The sequence below is a fragment of the Homo sapiens genome, chromosome 7 (genome assembly GCF_000001405.40).
Source record: "Homo sapiens chromosome 7, GRCh38.p14 Primary Assembly".
Taxonomy (NCBI): Eukaryota; Metazoa; Chordata; class Mammalia; order Primates; family Hominidae; genus Homo; species Homo sapiens.
In genome coordinates, this window is record NC_000007.14 from 47,470,154 (window position 1) to 47,487,501 (window position 17,348).

The 17,348-nt window shown below is 50.7% G+C and overlaps 1 protein-coding gene across 23 annotated transcripts in view, besides 7 other annotated features; it reads right to left on the reverse strand.

Annotated features, from left to right (window-relative positions):
• TNS3 (tensin 3) overlaps positions 1 to 17,348 on the reverse strand; it is a 307,433-nt gene that overhangs the window by 195,000 nt on the left and 95,085 nt on the right. For 15 of the 23 annotated variants that reach the window (XM_047420733.1, NM_001410878.1, XM_047420724.1 and 12 more), the window contains one exon: positions 10,950 to 10,988. The exons of 4 other annotated variants lie outside the window; for them this stretch is intronic. Coding sequence is in view for 8 of the 19 variants with exons in the window: in NM_001410878.1 (NP_001397807.1) it covers positions 10,950 to 10,988 (39 nt within the window). In the remaining 11 variants the exon portion in view is untranslated. Of the gene's footprint in view, positions 1 to 289; positions 537 to 3,065; positions 3,169 to 10,949; positions 10,989 to 11,091; positions 11,131 to 17,348 lie in introns of those variants that run through there. 4 more of the 23 variants (XM_047420738.1, XM_024446876.2, XM_011515481.3 and 1 more) reach the window with 4 other exon arrangements.
• Positions 385 to 1,201: an enhancer, noted in NCBI's record as "OCT4-NANOG-H3K27ac-H3K4me1 hESC enhancer chr7:47510136-47510952 (GRCh37/hg19 assembly coordinates)". NCBI's record gives its function as "activates a minimal SCP1, AML or CMV promoter by ChIP-STARR-seq in naive H9 embryonic stem cells {active_cell/tissue: H9 hESC(naive)}" and the evidence as "EXISTENCE:reporter gene assay evidence [ECO:0000049][PMID:30033119]".
• Positions 5,014 to 5,557: an enhancer, noted in NCBI's record as "H3K27ac-H3K4me1 hESC enhancer chr7:47514765-47515308 (GRCh37/hg19 assembly coordinates)". NCBI's record gives its function as "activates a minimal SCP1, AML or CMV promoter by ChIP-STARR-seq in primed H9 embryonic stem cells {active_cell/tissue: H9 hESC(primed)}" and the evidence as "EXISTENCE:reporter gene assay evidence [ECO:0000049][PMID:30033119]".
• Positions 5,432 to 5,491: a silencer, noted in NCBI's record as "silent region_18168". NCBI's record gives its function as "represses an Ori minimal core promoter by ATAC-STARR-seq in GM12878 lymphoblastoid cells {active_cell/tissue: GM12878}" and the evidence as "EXISTENCE:reporter gene assay evidence [ECO:0000049][PMID:35858748]".
• Positions 9,900 to 10,583: an enhancer, noted in NCBI's record as "OCT4-NANOG-H3K4me1 hESC enhancer chr7:47519651-47520334 (GRCh37/hg19 assembly coordinates)". NCBI's record gives its function as "activates a minimal SCP1, AML or CMV promoter by ChIP-STARR-seq in naive and primed H9 embryonic stem cells {active_cell/tissue: H9 hESC(naive and primed)}" and the evidence as "EXISTENCE:reporter gene assay evidence [ECO:0000049][PMID:30033119]".
• Positions 10,584 to 11,265: an enhancer, noted in NCBI's record as "OCT4-NANOG hESC enhancer chr7:47520335-47521016 (GRCh37/hg19 assembly coordinates)". NCBI's record gives its function as "activates a minimal SCP1, AML or CMV promoter by ChIP-STARR-seq in naive H9 embryonic stem cells {active_cell/tissue: H9 hESC(naive)}" and the evidence as "EXISTENCE:reporter gene assay evidence [ECO:0000049][PMID:30033119]".
• Positions 11,038 to 11,127: an enhancer, noted in NCBI's record as "active region_25977". NCBI's record gives its function as "activates an Ori minimal core promoter by ATAC-STARR-seq in GM12878 lymphoblastoid cells {active_cell/tissue: GM12878}" and the evidence as "EXISTENCE:reporter gene assay evidence [ECO:0000049][PMID:35858748]".
• Positions 11,838 to 12,385: an enhancer, noted in NCBI's record as "H3K4me1 hESC enhancer chr7:47521589-47522136 (GRCh37/hg19 assembly coordinates)". NCBI's record gives its function as "activates a minimal SCP1, AML or CMV promoter by ChIP-STARR-seq in naive H9 embryonic stem cells {active_cell/tissue: H9 hESC(naive)}" and the evidence as "EXISTENCE:reporter gene assay evidence [ECO:0000049][PMID:30033119]".

Below are 17,348 nucleotides of genomic sequence, written 5' to 3' on the forward strand. Positions count from 1 at the left end.
GCACACTGAGCACACGTGAACATAAACATGGGAACAGTAAACACTGGGAACTGCCCAAGTGAGGAGAGTGGGAGAGGGACGTGAATTGAAAAACCACCTATTGGGTACTATGCTCCTTACCTGGGTCCAACACACCTGGGTAACAATCATACACATGTACACTCTATATCTAAAATAAAAGCTGAAGTTTTTAAACTTTAAAAACAACTTTAAAAATCTTAAAATAAATAAGTAAAATATGTGACCACTCTAGAATCTGTGCCATAAAAGAAAAGAAATCCCACTCAACCTGATTTTTCTTGTCTGCTGCAGACGTCCAGTCATCAGACTTGGCAGCATTCATTCATTCGAAACACTGCTTACAGGTGAGTCCAGGGACCACACGACAATACTTCAGCCAAAGGTGCCTTTGGTGCGTCCAGCCCTGACCTGGCCCACCTGTCACTTTAGGAAGAGATCCCCAGCGCAGAGAAATGCAGCAACCCTGAACCACAGACGCAGGTAATGGTCAGGGCTGATGGGAATCCAGTGTCTGTGAGCCACACACCTGCAGCCCAGGCCTCCTAGCCGGAGTGGGTTTTTAATCATTAGCCAAGGCTTTGTGCTCCCGGGTGGATGTAAGCTGACACCAGGGTTAATATGTTCCCTGCTGTTGACCGTTCACAATTCCCTCCACCTGCAGAGGTGGGACAATAGCTTCAGGAACAGTATCCAACCCACCACTTTCAAATTCCAGCTACAAAGGGAGAGCGCCTGCTTGTGTGAGGCTCACATTGACGGGTGTGTTTTGTTTTTTGTTTTTTTTTAATGTGTTGAAGGTTTTTCGTCTTTCTCAGCAGGTCAGTGAACTGAGACCTGTGGGCTCCTGACTGTGGATGAGGAGTCTGCCTGAAGGGAAGGCCAAGGCTGCTGGGAAGCCTCCTCACTGGGGCGCAGTTCCCAGAAACCCTTTGGAAATAGCCAAAGGCCTGTATGTTATTTTAGGCGTGAGAGGAGACGGTGAAATCAAAGGAAAAGTGTGGATCAAAGTTCAGCCTGTGGGGAGAAGGGGTGAGGGTGGGGGTGCCACAACCACAGGCATCAGTCCCAGAAGACTGTGCCCACAGGGTCATGATGGCCTCACTAGGCAATTGTGCAGATGCTAAGGGGAGCAGCTGGAAACAGAGGCCGGGGCCAAGGGGCAGGGACCATCCTGGTAACCATCTCACCGTCTCGTCTCTGGGAACTGGGCTGAGCTCTGAAGGGCAGCCGTCCTGGGTCCCACTCACCCATGGAGTCATTCAGGATGGAATGGAAGGGGGTCTTCCTTTCCAACCTTGGCTCCCACTGACTTAGTGCCTGACTCCTGCAGGCAGCTCCAGGGCACCCGCGGGCCCTGCCAGCCTTTCCTGGAAGAGCCCTGGGGTGACAGAAGCCTCACAATCCCGCCCAGTTCGAATGACAGTTCATCACCAGAAGCTCCTCTTTTAAACACGTTCCACTAACATCTTCTGCTGTTTATCTGCCCATTCTCAAAGTCTGCTCCATCTGAGCAGAATGCGGCAGTTTGGAGAAGGGGCCTCAGCCAGGCTTGCCCAGGAGCCACCTCCCCCTCGGGTGTCCACTGGGTACCAGCTCCTCGCGGCCCATGTCTTCACCCAGATGAGGCTGGAGAGGTGTGAGCCAAAAAGGATTTCCAGAAATGCCTGAGGAACAACTAATCAATATGAAAGAAGTGAAGGGATGCACCCCATTGTATTAATTTCCTAAGGCTGCTGTAAAGCACTACAAAGTGGTTGGCTTCAAACAAGGCATGTGTTCTCTCACAGACCCAGGGGCTGGAGGTCTGAAACCAAGGCGGCAGGCTGCGCTCCTTCTGAGAGCCCCAGGGAGGATCTGTCCCTGCCTCTTCCACCTTCTCAGGCTGCCACAATTGGTGAGGTTCCTTGGCTTGCAGACACGTGGCTCCAGCCTCTGCCTCTGTCATCACCTGGCTTTCTCCCTGTGTCTGCATCCTCTCCTCTTCTTACAAGAACCCAGTCATGGAAATCAGGCCCAATCTAATCCAGCATGACCTCATCTCTGTCATCATTCCAAATAAGGTCACATTCAGGGGTTTCAGGTGGACATGAATTTCGGGGGAACACAACTCAACCCCCTGTACCTCCCCTACAGATGGTTCTCTGGGATCCGTGAGAAGGAGGGAGGCCCCACTGCATGTTCCAGGTCGAATGTTCTCATAGCACGTCGTTTCCTTACCTGCAAGGCTAGGTGTCAGTGTCACTGGGAAAGGAGCCCATTGGCTTGCCCTCCTTCACTGGTACTCACTGTGTGTGCCCATCAAGAGAAAGGCACGTGCACAGGGATATAGGGAGAAACTTTCAAAGGGGTGAAATGCACAGAAAACTGAGAGCAGTCCAGGACTGTGGCCCTAAACTTGCTCCCTGGCAGCTCCCTACACACAGGCCTTATGGTTGATTCGCTTAAGCCACTCTCTAGGGACTAGAGGCGTCTAGACCAGAAGGCGCAGGTGAGCCATGGGAACAGGAAGTCCCAGCCCACATCTCAGCACATCTTCAGCCTGTCCTACTCCCTCCCACAGAGTAAATCCCGGACACTCCTGCTGGTCTGCACTTGCTCCAAAGCAACAGAGAACCAGCCTGCACTACATCCACACCCTCCCAGGGCTGAGGCCATGGGCAATGATGAGGCAGGACCCTGAGCCGTTGTTGTTCAGGACGCAGCAGCTGGGAGATGGGGGTGAGGGTCATCCCCAACAACGAAGCACCCTCCAGAGGGGCGCTGGGTGAGAAACAGACGGACTTACAGTGCTGGCCCCACCCCTTCCTCACCTTCTGCTGAGCGACCTCACGCGCATCCAGCCCTCCCAATCTGAGTGTGATCGCCCACGCAGCCCTCCTCCCACCCGACTGCTCAGCATCCACACCCATCGTCCTCCACCGTGCCCTGCCAATGCCCGAATGCTGTATGCACAGGCTAACTAAACACCACTCTGTGATGACTGAGTGTCAAGGTAAGATCTGGGGAATGCAGTATCGGTTTGTACTTTTATTTTTGGGTCTCACCTGACTTTTGCCAAAGCCACAGATGTTGAGTTTGGCTCTTCTGACCAAATGGAACACCTGGATGCTGATCTAACAGGATCCTTGAAACTCTTCTCTCTGCTTCCTGGAGATCAGAGAGATTAAGGAGCAAGAACATTTGCGTATATCCATTGACCTAATAGAACTCAATTTCACTGTGACTCTGGTCAAATATGTTTGCATGAAGACTCCTGATGAGACACACAGAATCTGGAAGGGGCAGCGGTGAATCCAGAAACCATGAGCACGCACACATACACGTGTAGGTGATCTTCAGCCGAGACTCTGCTGTGGTGTATAGACCCGTGTCTGTGTTTCTGAAGTTTACTGAGGGGTGGAAACAATCTATAAGCAGGAAATAACCACTGTCCAGTCAAATACCTGGACTTATGGGCCGTGAGGACAAGAAATGCATACCCAGAGACTTGTGGGAAGCCTTCTGTGACAACATGCATGCAGAAACCACTGCAGGCTGGGGCCGGCAGAACAGACCCACATAGGTCACCTGGATCCACTGTCCCAGATCACTGGATGCTCAGCTCACTAAGCCCCACACCCAGTAATTTACAGGTGGAAAGTGTGGGTGTTTTGTTGGAAATTTGCTTAATTTTTCAGTAAAATAAAATGGAGACCATTAAAGTGATTTCATTTATCTGAAGCTCCTCATCATCCATTTGGTCAGCATTCTTTCTGAAAGAATCAAATAGCTTCATGAGACTCCATCACGGTCACTGGGGCAGAGGCAGGGATGGCAGCACGTGACCTGCAAGACTTCCTGACAGTCACATCTGTCCTGTCCTTGTGTTGGTTGGTCTTGTTGCTCTGGTCACTTCCTCTGTCTGGCTTTCTGAGTTCAAGTAAAACATACTGAGCAAGTCTCAACACACACACACACACACACACACACACAACACACATAAAAAAACCTCACACACAACACCTCACACAACACACAAAACAGCACACAAAAAACACCTCACACACAACACACACAAAACACCTCACAAACAATACACATCACATACACAAAACACTTCACACACAACACACACACATAAACACACACAGCACACACACCTCACATAACCCACACAACACACACAAAACACCTCACAACACACACAAAACACTTCACACACAACACAACACATACACAAAATAAGCAACACATACACAAAACACAACACAAACAACACACACTACACATACAACACACACTGCAACACACACACAACACCTCACACAATACACACAACACAGACATGTACACACACACAACACAGGCATGTACACACACAACACACTTCAGCACAACACACACAGCACAACACACACACCTCACAACACACACAAGACACACCTCACACACAAAACACCTCACACACAACACTTCACACACAACACACACCACAACACACACAAAAAACACCTCACACACACAAAACACCTCACACATAATACACACAACACACACAGCACAGACATGTACACACACAACACACCTCAGCACAACACACAACACACAAAGCACAACACACACACCTCACACACAACACACAAAGCACAACACACACACCTCACACACAACACACACGACAGACACACCTCACACACAAAACACCTCACACACAACACTTCACACACAACACACACACCGCAACACACACAAAAAAAAACACCTCACACACACAGGTAACACCTCACACAATACAACACATGCAACACACACAAAACACTACACACACTGCAACGCACTCAAAGCACCTCACACGCAACACACAACACACACACCTCACACAACAGACAACAGACAACTCACACACAAAAACACACCTCACGTACAACACACACACTGCATCACACAACACACAAACACAACATACACACACAAAACACCTCACACACACCACAGACCACAGACACACGCATCTTGCACACAGAGCTGTGCAAAGGTGGAGTGTGAGCTCCAGCCTCAGGCTGAAATGTGAGCCCTGCAGTCACCTTGGAGGGAACTAGCCCACTGGCCTCGGGTGAGGTGAACCAAGAGAAGCACCGCCCTGATGACTCAGCCACTATTCTTACCCAACCCCTCTTCCAGGGCCACAGACCACAGTGGCCAAGGCCAAGCAAGAACAATCACAGCGTGAGTGCAGGCAGCTGGTGCGGGCTCGGGACCTGCCCGGAGCTGGATCAGGCACTGCCCTGAACCCTCCCACACCAGAGGCCGCCACCAGAAGGCGGAGACACCGGCCTCCTTCAAGGACAGTGGCCCCTCTGTAAACAGGCGGCACTTCCCCGGGGGGGGGGCCAGGCCCTCCCTGGACTCAGGCTGGCTGTGGGCTGCCCAGGAGGCCGGGCGGGGAAGTGGGTCCCATACATGGCCTCGGGGTGTCCTAGTGAAGGCTGCCCTGCACCTGAGGGCATCAAGATTTGCTGGTATGAATCAATCGCTTGCAGAGTGTATGAAGGTAAACACAGGATGGAAAAAAACAAGGACACTCTGCCCTTGAACTTCAATCAAAAGCTGTGGGGCCACCATTCGGACCACTGTTAGGCCGCAGCATCATGAAAAGATCCTGCAAACCTGCAACTACCAAGGACAGACTCGCATGCGCCCTTGTTCTGACCGTGGTGCCTCCAAGTCTGCAAATGCGGGATCACAGGAATCATCTACTGTGTCTGTCATCGGTGCCCTCACCCTCAGGAAGCAGGGGACACGCTCTGGAACTCATCAGACTGGTTCTCTCCATCAGGAGAACCAGATCAACAATGAATGGCACACAGCAAAGGCTGTGGGCACCAGAAGAACCGCACTGCCAACTCACCTTCACAGGACAACCAACCAGGCTCTTCCCCACACATCACGTGTCTTCCCTGTGTCACACTAGCACTGAGGATCTAAGCATGTTATTTCATTCGATCCTGGCAGTGACCCCAAGAAGAGCTGGTGGCGTCCTCATTTTACAGAAGAGGAAAGTGGAGCCCAGAAAAGTGAAAGAACTCCATTCAGGGCCACACAGCTCACCAGTGTCATACCCCGGATGGGACTCAACCCAACTCTAGTCCATGCTCACACCTACCACTACATTCTGTGCCTGTGTGCGCATGTGAGCACTGCGTGTACACATACACGTAGACTTACAGAGCAGCTGGACCACAGGCTGTGACTCCCCTGTAAGGAGCCCGGCCACCTCTCCCAGCCTTAGGGACAGTAGTTACCTGAACAATGGTGAAGCATTCTCTCTATGACCCAGAAGACCACAGCCCATAGAACGGTAATGTAAGCAGAAAGACACCAATTGTCCCTTTATAGTTCTAAAAGCCAGAGGTCCCAATGAGGCTATGCTGCAATAGCTTGCCTCTGACATCCCTCCAAAATCATCATTCTGCTCGACTCATGGAGACGTGGTGCATGCCCCTGATGCCTTAGTCTACACCCTCCATAATTTCCCACGTCGCACATTTTCTCTGCTGATTCTTGTTTCTTCCCACCTTCCAGAAAGGCACATGCCAATCATTGTGGTTTCCTTTTCACACTGGCTCCCAGGAAGCTCCAACCCTGTGTCCATGTAACATATGCCAAGTTGACATTCACAAAGGGAGGTTTGCCTCCCAGCTCCTTTCTCAACAATACTATGTGCCGATTTTGAGTCCATGAATTAATCTAACCTCACATCCCACTTTTGTAAGCTGCTGCAGTAAACAGAAGATTCTGCTACCAGGAATATGAAAACGAACATCACAGGTAAATAGCCACGGGTTCAATGCGCCACAATCACGGAAAAGGTTCCTTCTCCATTGTGTCTTAAATGCCCCGGGGAGCCACAAAGGCACCCTATGCCTGCAGACAAAGAACCCTCACACAGTATGTCATTAAGATGACAGACACCCTTACAGTCCTGTCCTGGGATGTCGGTAAGTATGGCTGGCAAGGCTCATCACTGCCTTCTTTCTGCCCTACCAGGGAATTAGGCCCAGGGGTTTCAAAACAATCATGCCCTCAGCCAGCACAACTCCAGGAATTTTGACAGACCCGGCAGCTCACCTCGATAAAACATGCTGGGATGAAGCTATTCTAGAACCTCTCCAAAGGGGTCATGCCCCTCAGGTTAGCTGCAGAGCAGAGGAGGGCCTGGGGGTGGGTACAAGTGCCAGGTAAACTCCAGGTGTGGGAGGGGCCGCCAGCACAGGACAGAGCAGAAGAGCAGCCAGGTCTAAGGGCAGGTCACAGAGGGGCCTGCAGGGGCACTGACACCCCAGAGAGCAGAAGCCCCTTAGTGTCTGGGTGATGTGGGAGTTTCTTCAGTTTTCTGAGCTCCAGCAGGTGAGGGAGGGCAGGGCATCTGAGACAGAATAGGTACTCAATGAATGGTAACAAAGAGAAAAACAAAAACAGCTATCAGGTGACCTGGCCAGGTGCCACAGGGCACAGTGACAACCCAGGTGACATCGGGGATGTCAGTATTATCTGAAAGCAATTCCATGCCCATCCAAAATGCCAAGGATCACAGTGCCAGAAGACTCAGCCCAGACAGGATCAGGAAAGAAAAAAAAGATTCTGTGCTTTCTGCCCTGAGAAGCCACACGGTGCAGGCGGAAACCCTCCTGCCCAAGCTCCGCTAAATGGGGGGGTCTGCTTCTACAAGGCCACCCAGCAGGGAGGCAGAAGAGTGCTCAGGCTGGGCTGGGCTGCCACGTCCATCCTTCCATTTACTCCTCCATGCCAGGAGGAAGACAGCACTGCCCTGTTTAGGGGAGAAAGCTCCATGCAAAATAAAGATGTGAGGGAACTGGGTGTCTTGGCATCAAAGGCCCTCTCATGACCCCACACCACCACACGGGGAGAGCAGCCCAGAAAGGCAGGCATTTGCCAAGGCCACCCCTGACTGCACGCCCACGGGCTGATCTCTGCCCCAGTTCCAGCCCACAGCCAGGATTCCCACACTTGAGCTGATCAGCCTTGCCAGAGGGTTTGTTAAAGCACCGATCGCAGGGCCCCAGCAATTCAGTACGTCTGGGCTGGGGCCTGAGAATGTGCATTTCTATAGGTCCCCAGGCAATGCTGAGGCTGTAGGTCCAGGGACCACACCTGGGGGCCAGCTGGTCAAGGCAAGTTGAAAAGGCCACAGAGAGCTTAGTACAGAGTGGACTCATGCATGTTCATCTCAGGGAAATACACACACACACACACACACACACATTCACATACACATAAACTGACATACATAATAAACACACACATCCATATGTTCACACACAGGTAACAATTACATTATCCACATATATATACCCTCAGATATATAACAACTACATTAAAAACCTACACACATTAATAATTACATACAAGATACATATATTCACATGTGTAACATTTATATACATAATATATGCATACAAACCTTCATATAAACAATTACATAACATATATACACTCACATATAAAGACTGCATACCTAATATACATATATATTCACATACATAACTCTCATATGTATGGCACATGTATGTATTCATGTGTTGACACATGTATAACATACATATTCATTTGTGTGCGTATAACAATTACATGTATAACATGCATGTATGTGTTCATGTACCAATAAAATTACATGCATAACATGCATGTCTATCCATATACATGTAACAACTACATGCATAACATACATGTATGTATTTGTACGCACAACAATTACACACATAATACACACACACACACACAGAGCAGCAGCAAGGGGAGTGGGCAGGAGCCAGGCTGGGCTAGAAGAGCGAGATCTCTTAGCAACCACACCTGTGAAAAGGTTAACAGGGAGGCCGTGTCCTGACGCAGGGGGAGGGCTGTGCTCCAGGAGACTGAAGACTCCTCTCTGGGACCCTGGGCTCCAGAGGGAACAATGACAACATCTAAGCAGCCAGGATGGGCCCTTTGGGCTCTGGCCTGTCTGACAGCCCTGCAACCGGCATCTTTAGAGCCAGCACACAGCTTTAGCCCTCTGGTGCCTCTGATGTCCAGGGCTCACCAACAAATCTGATGGCAAGGGACTGTCTGCGAGGTGGGAGAGCCTCAGCTGCCACCAGGAAAACAGGCTTCAGCCAGGGCCTCGGGACAGGCACACAGCTCTGGGGCCACCTGGGCCTCAGCCCCTGGCTCCCGGGGCCTATGACAAGCCTGAGGAAATCAGTCACAAACCGCAGCCTGTCAAAACCAACTACAAACACAGGCTCCCAAGTCCCCCCACGCCCCCTACTCCCCCACCCCCCCGTCGGCGGTGAGTGCCACAGGAGGAATGGAGTGAGACTGGACCACAGGCCTGGGGACACAGCTGAGGCCAGCAGGGACAGCCAGGCAGGCGCCCGCCCCGGACGGCCTCAGCTCTTGATGCTGCAACATGTTTCTCATAGTTTGTCAATATTTTAGGTTTCTGGGTGAGATTTTATTTTTAACGTTCCTATGACCTCAAATGCATACTTTGCTCTTCCAGAACCAAAGAGACCACACCACATGCCAGCATTAAAAGGAGCATAATAAGGGCACCCCGCCTGTGGCCAGGCTTCTGTGACAGGCCTGACCCTGTAGTCCCTCTTCTCTCATCCGCAGCTAGGTTAGAGAGCACCTCTATGGCCATTGCATAAAGGAGAAAACCGAGGCTCAGGTGGGCAGGGGGCGAGGGCAGGGCCTGGCCACTCAAGTGATGAGGTTAGAGAGCCACCCCCACGCCCACTGGGTAAAGGAGGAAACCAAGGCTCAGATGGGCAGGGGGCAAGGGCAAGGCCCAGCCACTGGAGCCAGGATCTGATCTTGACTTCATCAAAGCAGGGAAGCTGCCACACGGGCGCCGCTGGCCGAGCCTGGGGAAGGATGTCCTACTGCACCACAAGACAGAGCCAGTTAGCCAGTTCCATGTCTGGAGGCCACCAGGCTCACAATCCAGAAAGGCTGCCAAATCTCCGGCAGAACACCCCAGATTCTGTGTATGGCGAAGCTAGGGGGAGCCAAGAGCAGAAAGCCCTGCCCTACTTGAGAAGTACAGGGAACAACACACCTGACAGATGCCCAGGAGGAACCACAGGGTGCACCTGTTTCCCTGCCCCACCGGGGAGGCCCAGACCTGCACACACTTCCCCAGCAGCAAGAGGCAGCTTCCCATTTGCCTCCCAGGGAGTCGCTTCTGACTTGCAGTGAGAGAAGAGGGTCCTGTATCCTACTGTCTTGGCACAGTGAGCCTTTCAATTATCCTGCAAGCTGCTAATAAGCCCTCAGAAACAAAGCTTCACTCACTCAGCTCCAAAGGATGGAGGCAAAGAAAACACCAGGAGGTACCATGACCTTCCAAGGAGCTGCATTTGAAAAGCAGACAGCAATTTAAATTTGCCTAATCACAAGCCAAAGAGAAAGTGCTATTGTGTTTACCTTCAATCTGATTTGAACACACACACACACACCCAGTATTTGTCAGAGCTGGATGTCAGTCTACAAACCACTGCACTACACTGTCCACAGCCACCTGGCGACCCAGGCACCCTCACTGTCCAGGTTTTTATCACTAAGACAACAGACTTGTGCTGTCTTCACTTTATAGCCAAGGAAACTCGGCCCAGGGAGATTCGCCCCGAAGGTAACTATTACTGATAGAAAGGCAGCTCCCGCAAAGGCGCAGCGGATCCTCTTCTCTAAAAAACCATGCAAATGGCCAGTGCAGCATGGTCAAAGGACCTCAGATAGAGCCTTGTGAATGCAAGCTACAGGTCAAAGGGAGGGCATGGATCCTAGAGGAAGCCAAAAGATCCCCAAAGAGGGAGCAGCTTCAAGAAAGGACTTAGTCCTTTCTTGGATGGAACAAGGGAGCCAAAGAAATGCAAAGGGCTTACCTGTTCCAGTCGGACTTGCACACCGCAGGGAATCACCACCTTTCAAAGAGAGAAGAAACAGATAAGCAAATGGATTCTCCAGGAAAAAATTAGCATAATAATCAAGCCAGGCTCCCAAAGACTGAATGAAACTGTCTCTAACCTCACTCTGGCTACAAAGCTGTAGCAGATCAAGACTGACAAGATTTAGAGTTAAGAGAGTCCAGGGTTTTGTTCACTTTTGGAAAGTCCCTGTCATTTTTGCTAATGTCATGGAAACCATGGGGCCTCCCCTTCCAGAAAAATGCAAATCACTCATAGATACAAAATTTAGCCCCCACTTTCACAAAGAACTGGTAGACCTCAAGGATGGAAACCTCTGAGTCGGTCCGTGCTTGGGGAGCTTGGGAGCGGGGCCCAGAGAAGGAGGTGGAAGGCTCTGCCTGGTGGTCTTCAAGACCCCACTCCTCCCATCCTCACCCAGGGGCATGCATTCTCTACACAAGGGGCCATCTTTTCTAGAACTATTTCTACAAGTAGAACTGAAGAGTCTGAATGTGGCAATGTCAACCTGGTTATTCCATTCCGCACAAGAGACGGGGAGAGGAGACTTTGACTCCACCATAGTCTCTGAAGACCGAGAGCTCCCTGGGAAAGATAAAGAAAGTAACGGAGGCAAGGTGGCTCAAACACAGTCAGGAGAGGCAGTTAGTAACAGGCACAGGGAGCCACCAGTCCTGCAGGGCAAAGACCCCACCTTGGGCAGGATCTCCACCACTTACTAGCCACAGGACCTTGGCCTTTAATCTCTCTGGGCCTCAGTTTCCACATCTGAAAACTGCAGGTAACAATAGTGCCTTCCGGGCAGGGTCATGGTGAGAATTAAGAGATGGCGCGTGAGGAGCTCAGAAGAGTGGCACAGGGCAGGGGCTAAGGGAGCCAGGCAGGCATTGCGCTGCTCTGGGGGGCCGCTCAGGAGCCAGGCGCCAGCAAACAGGATTCAGTTCCTGGTGAGTGACCTCACTCCTTAGCTTTCTCCTGGCACTGCCCCCTCCAGATCCCTGGCACCTGCCTTCTCAAAGAGTTTTCTGAAAATGTGCAACCGAAGGAGAATCGTAGAGAATCTCAGAGATCTGACTAATTGTACTTGTGGTTTGGAGTGGGCGGCGGCGTAATCTTGGCTTTTACCAGGATAACTATTTATAGCCTCTTGCTTATCTTACGCAGTCCAGTCCTCAGGGAGTATGTGACACATGGCCGTTCCTGTGTCTGGGACACATCATTACTCCACCATGGCTCTGACTCAGACGGATGTCTGGGGCAGGGGTCCTCTCTCAGGGCCCCTTTAAAGTTTGATGAATGGATGAGAGAATAAGTAAACAAATAAATGTAAAGCAAAACAAAACAAAAACAGCTTTGGAAACAGAAGGAGTCACAGACAAAACCTTACAGGATGGCGGAAACAGCCGGACAAGGAGACCCCATGGTTAACAGAGCGGTGTGACTTATCTCCCCTCAAGCATGGTATCTACTCAGTGCACACATGCATCTTGTTGCCTCACTCCACATGTGACATGCAGGCAAGAAATGTGCGAAGAATCAGGGCCCCTGCCTTTCAAACTCACTATCAGCATTCCTGCAATGGCATGTCAAGCATGATGAAAAAAAAAATGAGCTATGAAGGCAGGAAAACACAAAGAGGAAACTTAAATGCATATTACTAAGTGAAAGAAGCCACTCTGAAAAGGCCACATACTGTATGATTTCAACTCTGTGACATTCTGGAAAAGGCAAAACTATGGGACAGTGAAAAGGTCAGTGAAAGCCAGGGATTAGGAGGGAGAGAGGAACAGGCAGAGCACAGAGACTCTTTAGGGCCATGAAGCTATTCTGCTTGACACTATAAGGATGGACGCACGTCATTCTGCATTTGTCTAAACCCACAGAATGTACAACACCAGGAGAGAATCCTAATGTAAACCGAGGGCTCTGGTTACTAAGACTGTATCAATATTGGCTAATCAAGTGTAACAAATGTACCACAGGAATGGAAAATGTTTATATATGAAGAGGAAGAAGAGTGTGTCCAATTTTTTTTTTTTTTTTGAGACGGAGTCTCACTCTGTCACCCAGGCTAGAGTGCAGTGGCACGATCTTGGCTCACTGCAAGCTCCGCCTCCCGGGTTCACGCCATTCTCCTGCCTCAGCCTCTCGAGTAGCTGGGACTACAGGCGCCCGCCACCACGCCTGGCTAATTTTTTGTATTTTTAGTAGAGATGGGGTTTCACTGTGTGAGCCAGGATAGTCTCGATCTCCTGACCTCATGATCCACCCACCTCGGCCTCCCAAAGTACTGGGATTACAGGCGTGAGCCACCATACCTGGCCTGAGTGTCTGATTTTTGTATAAATCTAAAACTCTCTTAAAAATACAGTCTATAATACATTTTTTAAATTCACTCTCTGGAAGCACACGTTTGTTGAGACAATGAAAAGAAAAGCCTTGTGCAATGTCAGAAACTTGAGTTTTAAAGACGGCAGCCACTTAAGGATTTGGTCCAGAAGCCAGGTCTGTGTGTTCCCACATCCCTCTGTGGCCAGATGGGGTGCAATAACGGCCCACCACCTGGCCTGGCCCCAGGGTGTCCTACAGAAAAGGAGAGGTGAGCTCTGTAAGCCGGGACTGCCCGAGTCCCATCTCACCCCAGACCATCCACGGCTTATATGGCTAACCGGCTCGCGCGATAAGTTGGCACGCCCAATCTTGTCGAACTCCATCCATCACTTGTGCTGCACATTTTCACTGACAGCCTTCTCCTGCCAGGACTTCACTTGGAAATGAAGCAGACTGGTCCCTAACCCCACAGAGCTTACGGCTCACGTAATAGAAACTGCATAAAATGAATCGTTTTTAAGAAAGTGAGCTGGGGAACAGTAGGGGGCGAGCAGCCCCCAGGTTCTGCAGAGCAAATGGCAGGCAGCCTTGCCCTGAGCCTCCACATTCGCATCCTACTGAACTTGCTCCTCTCTTCCAAGAGAACCAGTCACAGGCCCTACTGTCTGTTTGCACATGTGCTGTTACAAAATGCAGACAAAAATGTCTCAGGAAAGACCTTTTGTGGGAGTGGATTTGCAAATAAAAATGCACATGGAGCACCAACCAGAGAAAAAGGGACATTCTAGAAGCAAAGAGTCACCTGTTGATAAAGAGAAAACTCATCATTTCTATAAGTACAAACATCTCATTTAGCAAAAACCATGACCAAGTGAACACAGAGGGCACTTGTTCTTTCAATGTGGCTAAAACCAGATTCCAGGACAGGAAGTCCCTGAAAAGAGACTGTATTTCCGTCACACTTTTCCTCCCTTATACTAAGGCAGGTAAGCTGACCACAGACAGAACCACAGGATGAGGCGGCCGGGCTGGGGATGCTCATACCGGCCTGCTCAGCACCAAGGAACCTATGGGGACTGTGCGACGGTGCTATCAGCTGCATTTGCTGGACAGTCAAGTGTCACTTGCTGTTCTTCAGCCTTAGCAGAGGCAGAAGCACAGTGCTTCCGTGCACAGAGCTGCATCCCTGCTGGAGCGCACACAGCTCTCCACTGATCTACAGGCTGCCCTGCCTCCCATGCATCAGGAGGGTATCTCCTGTGGATGGAGCCAGGTAAGGGAGTAAGGCACACCTGCTTGCTCTCCTCACCTCAAACTCCAGCTCTGATCACACATTCCCCAGCACTGTGGGGTTCTTTCACTGTTTTCACTGGACAGAGGGAAGCACCGTGGGTCGGGGCCAACTCCAGGTGGGCTTGGCCTTCCTCGGCACAAAGAAGCTAACACTTCTTTAGCACTTATGTTCTTAACATGCCAGTCTGACTTATTCAGAGAGAGCAGCCACCCAACGCTGCAGGGCTGGGAGGGTCCCGGTGCACTGCATCCCCTGAGACCGTCCTGCAGACGCCAACCAGAAGCCTCTGAGCTGCGCCTGGCCCCATCAGTGCACAGCCAGCATGGCTGGGATGTGTGCGGTGGCATGGCCAGGAGTCTAGATGGGCACCCGCTGGCCTTGTGCTTTGCCTGCTCTGTAACATGATGCTGAGTGAGCTGCAGGGGCGTGAAAGGATGAGACAAGAACCAGGCAGCGTTCCCTGTGTCAAGGCACACTCCTGGGGAGGCCCACGGCTCATCCAATGTGTGGACTCGAATCAGCTGGATAAACACGAAACAGTGCCCTGTCTGTAGGTCTTTCTCTGTAGCCCTCACAATAAGGCCAGCGAGCCCCCACTCTGTGTATGAGAAGCTGCGTCTCAGAGAGGGCCAGCGCCAGCCACGGGAACTCTCCCAGAGATGACTCCAGCTGGTGCCCCAGCTCCAGGCTCCTCTCCTGATAGGAGCTGCACCCTCTCTCATAATGAGCAGCTCCCTCAGGGATTAGGGTGACAAGAGGTGACAACAGTGAGACAAGGAAGGGGGCAGAGCAGCTCCCGTTAGCAGCTACAGAAGGCTGGAGAGAAGGCAGTGGGTCATGGGCTGTGGGCCAAAAGCCATGGGCTGTGGCATCCCCGGGATCCGTCCCTCCCATGGTGGAGGCGAGGGCCCCTCTGAGAAGCCTGTTTGGGAGCCTCTTTATTGCCTTCTTTCAGCTATCCTGGGATCCTAATCTACTGTTCCCAAGGAAACCACAAACAAACACTGCTGTGCCTGCCCCACACCTGGCTACGTGGGTGCCTGGGTACACTGGCATCAATAACCTTGTCCCCAAGCCAGCAGGTCCACAGGACAGAGGGGCAGAGGGACAAGTGCTTGCCACCAAGTCATGACTGTGTCCTTGGGAATGTGAGTGTGTGGGTGAGCGTATGTGTGTGTGGATGAGTGTGAGTGTGGGTGTGTGAATGTGGGTGAGTGTGGGTGTGTGAGTGTGGGTGTGTGGAGGTGAGTGTGTGTGGGGGTGAGTGCAGGTGTGTGAGTGTGGGTGTGTGGGTGAGTGTGTGTGTGTGAGTGACTACATGTGGTGGTGTCTGTGTTTGACTAGGTATATTTTACTGTGGATATCTGCAAATATATTCTTTTGTGTGAATGTGTGTAAGTTTGAGAGTGTTGTGAGTTTGCATATGAGTGGGTGAGTCAGTAGTTATGTGCATGGGAGTGTAAAAGTGTAGGGGGTGTGAGCGTGTGTGCTTGTGAGAATGTATGAACGTGCATGTGTGAAACTGAGTTTTGTAAGTGTGTCTGTGTGTGTTTCTATGTATGCCTATGCCTCATGTGTGTGTATTGATGTGAGAGCGTGTCTGTGTGTGTCTCCGTGTGTGAGTGTATACCTGTATGTGTCTCTGTGTGTTTGTGTGTGTGCACACACAACAAAGCTTAGCCCTGCAGTTCCATCCCCCAAGGTGAATGAAAGCACTTCAGCTAACAAGTACATTCTGCCTTAGAAAGTGCTTTCATCCAAGGTGCACTGGCCCGGCCACCATTACCCCCAGTGCTAACAGACACAGGGCCTCGGGTGCAGATCTTCCTCAGTAAGGAGTGAGATCAACTCTTCAAACCTGAACCAATCCCTCTCTGCTTACTTCTGGGAGATCCAAGTCCTGGGAGAAATAAAGGACAACTCAGTTCTCCTCGTGCTTGACCGACATTGTTTTCCTTTTGATGAACACAATAAAACTCCAAACTCAGCTTTTATTGTTGTTTCTTATTAAATTTCACTTTGTAAACAGCCATATAGAAAGTGACATTTTTCCATCAGTTTCTCTAAAGCCGTGTGGGTATAGCTGATGCACTACATATTCTGTATAAACATGCATATTCTGTATAAAGAGAATAAATGTAAATTTCAATTCTATCTTTTCCAAATCATCAAAAATTCCAGTCATGGTGGGTCACGTGAATCAGCTTCCTAGAACCTCACAGAAACATGAAGTAAGGACTGAAGAGAGGCCGGGCGCAGTAGCTCAAACCTATAATCCCAGCACTTTGGGAGGCCCAGATGGGCGGATCACCTGAGGTCAGGAGCTCGAGACCAACCTGGTCAACATGGCAAAACCCCGTCTCTACTAAAAATACAAAACTTAGCAGGGCGTGGCGGCACGTGCCTGTAATCCCAGCTACTCAGGAGGCTGAGACAGGAGAATTGCTTGAACCTGGGAGGTTGCAGTGAGCTGGGATCGTGCCACTGCACTCCAGCCTGGGCGACAGAGCAAGACTCCGTCTCAAAAGAAAAAAAAAAAAGAACTGAAGCGAGCACCCTCAAGTGTCAAGCATGCTTTTACACACCCGGCAGCTACAGGGAAAGCCTGGAGGCTTGGCTCCTCTAATCGTTTCTTCCTGCTTGTTCTCCAGGTCATTCTGCCCACAGGTGAAGTCTCTACTCTACTCTGGTATCAAGCAGGCCTGGGCAAACCTTGTTCATGTCAGGATTCT